General features: G+C 48.4%; 2 annotated features.

Annotated features, from left to right (window-relative positions):
• Positions 1,323–1,823: an enhancer, noted in NCBI's record as "H3K4me1 hESC enhancer chr19:13776728-13777228 (GRCh37/hg19 assembly coordinates)". NCBI's record gives its function as "activates a minimal SCP1, AML or CMV promoter by ChIP-STARR-seq in primed H9 embryonic stem cells {active_cell/tissue: H9 hESC(primed)}" and the evidence as "EXISTENCE:reporter gene assay evidence [ECO:0000049][PMID:30033119]".
• Positions 1,824–2,324: an enhancer, noted in NCBI's record as "H3K4me1 hESC enhancer chr19:13777229-13777729 (GRCh37/hg19 assembly coordinates)". NCBI's record gives its function as "activates a minimal SCP1, AML or CMV promoter by ChIP-STARR-seq in primed H9 embryonic stem cells {active_cell/tissue: H9 hESC(primed)}" and the evidence as "EXISTENCE:reporter gene assay evidence [ECO:0000049][PMID:30033119]".

The raw sequence follows: 2,598 nt of genomic DNA on the forward strand, positions 1-2,598 counted from the left end.
TGTTGAAACTGCCTTTGCAAAATTATGACTGAGACAGTCAAAGAAATCTAACTGAATCGACTCCATCTTGCTTCTAACCTCCAAGCTGTCCTTGTTCATTCCTTGGCGTAGGCTGGACTAACTTTGGGAGAAACTCAGTTTATAGTTTATAGTTTAAAACAAAGATGACAGACTGGGCACGGTGGCTCACGCCTGTAATCCCAGCACTTTGGGAGGCCGAGGCAGGCAGATTACCTGAGGTCAGGAGTTCGAGACCAGCCTGGCCAACATGGCGAAACCCCGTCTCTACTAAAAATTAAAAAAAAAAGAAAATTAGCTGGGCGTGGTGGCGGGTGCATGTAGTCCCAGCTACTCAGGAGGCTGAGGCAGAACAATTGCTTGAACCCGGGAGGTGGAGGTTGCAGTGAGCTGAGATTGCGCCACTGCACTCCAGCCTGGCAACAGAGCAAGACTCTGTCTCAAAAAAATAAATAAAATAAAATAAACTCTGCTCCCTCACTGCACTCCAGCCTGGGTAACAGAGGGAGACTCCATCTCTGAAAAAAGAGAAAAAAACAAAAAACTCTGCTTTTTGAATATTTGGGGAGACTGATTTTAGTCATAATAAAACTCTGGTCTCCCGCACGGCCAGCTCTGTGTGAATTACTCTTTCTCTATTGCAATTCCCCTGTCTTGATAAATCAGACAGCAGGGAACTGAAACCCTCTGCTCAGAGATAAACAGGAACTGTACCTGGTCCATTTAATAAAGAGAGCTGCTTGGCTTTGGGGTAGGGGTGGTAACTTCTCCATCAGGGCAGAGTAGGGAGGGGACTTTGGGATCAGTCATTTGAAGCCCTCCTGGTTTCACCAGCTGTCAAGGCAGCACATAACATTGAGCCTTAATTTTAGGCTTTGCACCACGTCGCTTCTGGGCATTATTTTTTAGCAAGTGTTATGGGGTGACAGAAAGGAAAGATAAAATATTCTCCCAGAGGGACGTTATTCATAATCGCTGTGAGTTGTACAGAAATCAGTATACGGTGTCTTTTTTTTTTTTTTTTTCTTGTCCAAGGAAACTAAACTCCAAACGAAGTGAAATAAAGTTGGAGAGAACTTTAACCTCGCTGCCATGGAAACCACATTTCTCACTCATGGGGCAAAGAGGGTTTATGTGAGGATCTCCTGAGTCGATAAGGTATCTGGACATTGGCAATTCCAGATATTTGATTAACAAGCAGGAAATCGTAAGGATTTCCTAAGATTGACTAGCCGAGGAAGGGAAGCTTGGGATAAAAGAAGTGCTTCTTTCAGGAGAGGCATTTCCTACCCCTTCATTCTAAACCAGGGCTCCTGGCCGGGCCCAGTGGCTCACGCCTGTAATCCCAGCACTCTGGGAGGCCGAGACAGGTGGACCACCTGAGGTCAGGAGTTCAAGACCAGCCTGGCCAACATGGCAAAACCCCATCTCTACTAAAAATACAAAAAATTAGCCAGGCATGGTGGTGGGTGCCTGTGATTTCAGCTACTTGGGAGGCTGAGGCCGGAGAATCACTTGAACCCAGGAAGCAGAGGTTGCAGCGTGCCGAGATCGCGCCATTGCACTCCAGCCTGGGTGACAGAGCGAGACTCCATCTCAAAAAACGAAGAAACAAACAAACAAAAAAAGATTCTCATAAGGATCACGCATCCTAGATCCCTCGCATGTGCAGTTCACAATAGGATTCGTGCTCCTGTGAGAATCTAATGCTGCCACTGATCTGACAGGAGGCGGGGCTCAGGCGGTGATGCGAGCAATGGGGAGCAGCCGTAAATACAGATGAAGCTTCGCTCATTCGGCTGCCCCTCACCTCCTGCTGTGTGGCCCGGTTTCTAACAGGCCACTGTTACCGGTCCATGGCCTGGGGATTGGGAACCCCTGGTGTACGGGTGGCAGTGACCACCTCTCAGCCACAGGGTGACCCCACGGAATTTGTGCTGTTTTCCTCTAAACACAACAATTAGAACTCCCCAGGGGAAACGTTCTTGGGTAATGCCCTGAACCCCAGTAAGGGCCTTGGCCTCCAGGTCCCCCGCCTCACACTTCCCCCATCTTCTGGTTGATCTTGCACATCCCAAATGGCTCCCCTCTTCCTATTGCCCTGCAAGGCACTCTGTCCTCCTCTCTCTGGGATTTGTGAGTAATAAAACTGTTTCTGTTATCTGTTATTTCATGTGTTTTGTTGAGTTACCTTTTTTTTTTTTTTTTTTTTTTTTTTTTGAGACTGAGTCTCACTCCATCACCCAGGCTGGAGTGCAGTGGTGCGATCTCAGCTCACTGCAACCTCCGCCTCCTGGGTTCAAGCGATTCTCGTGCCTCAGCCTCCCGAGTAGCTGGGATTACAGGTGCACACCACGACACCTGGGGGGCAAGATCATTCGAGAAGCTTTACATCTTGTAGGACTGGCCCTGACTCCAGGAGGGTTTCCTTCTGCCAGTTTAGTTATGCAGCAGGAGGTGCTTGGCGTATCTCCCCAGTGCAGTCTTCCCTATGTCATCTGAGCCCCAAAGCAATGTGCCCTGGGCCTTTAGTCTCTCAAAGTCTTAGGAAAGTAGCTTTCTCTTCATCTCTATGTAGTC

Source organism: Homo sapiens, chromosome 19, assembly GCF_000001405.40.
Source record: "Homo sapiens chromosome 19, GRCh38.p14 Primary Assembly".
Lineage (NCBI taxonomy): Eukaryota > Metazoa > Chordata > Mammalia > Primates > Hominidae > Homo > Homo sapiens.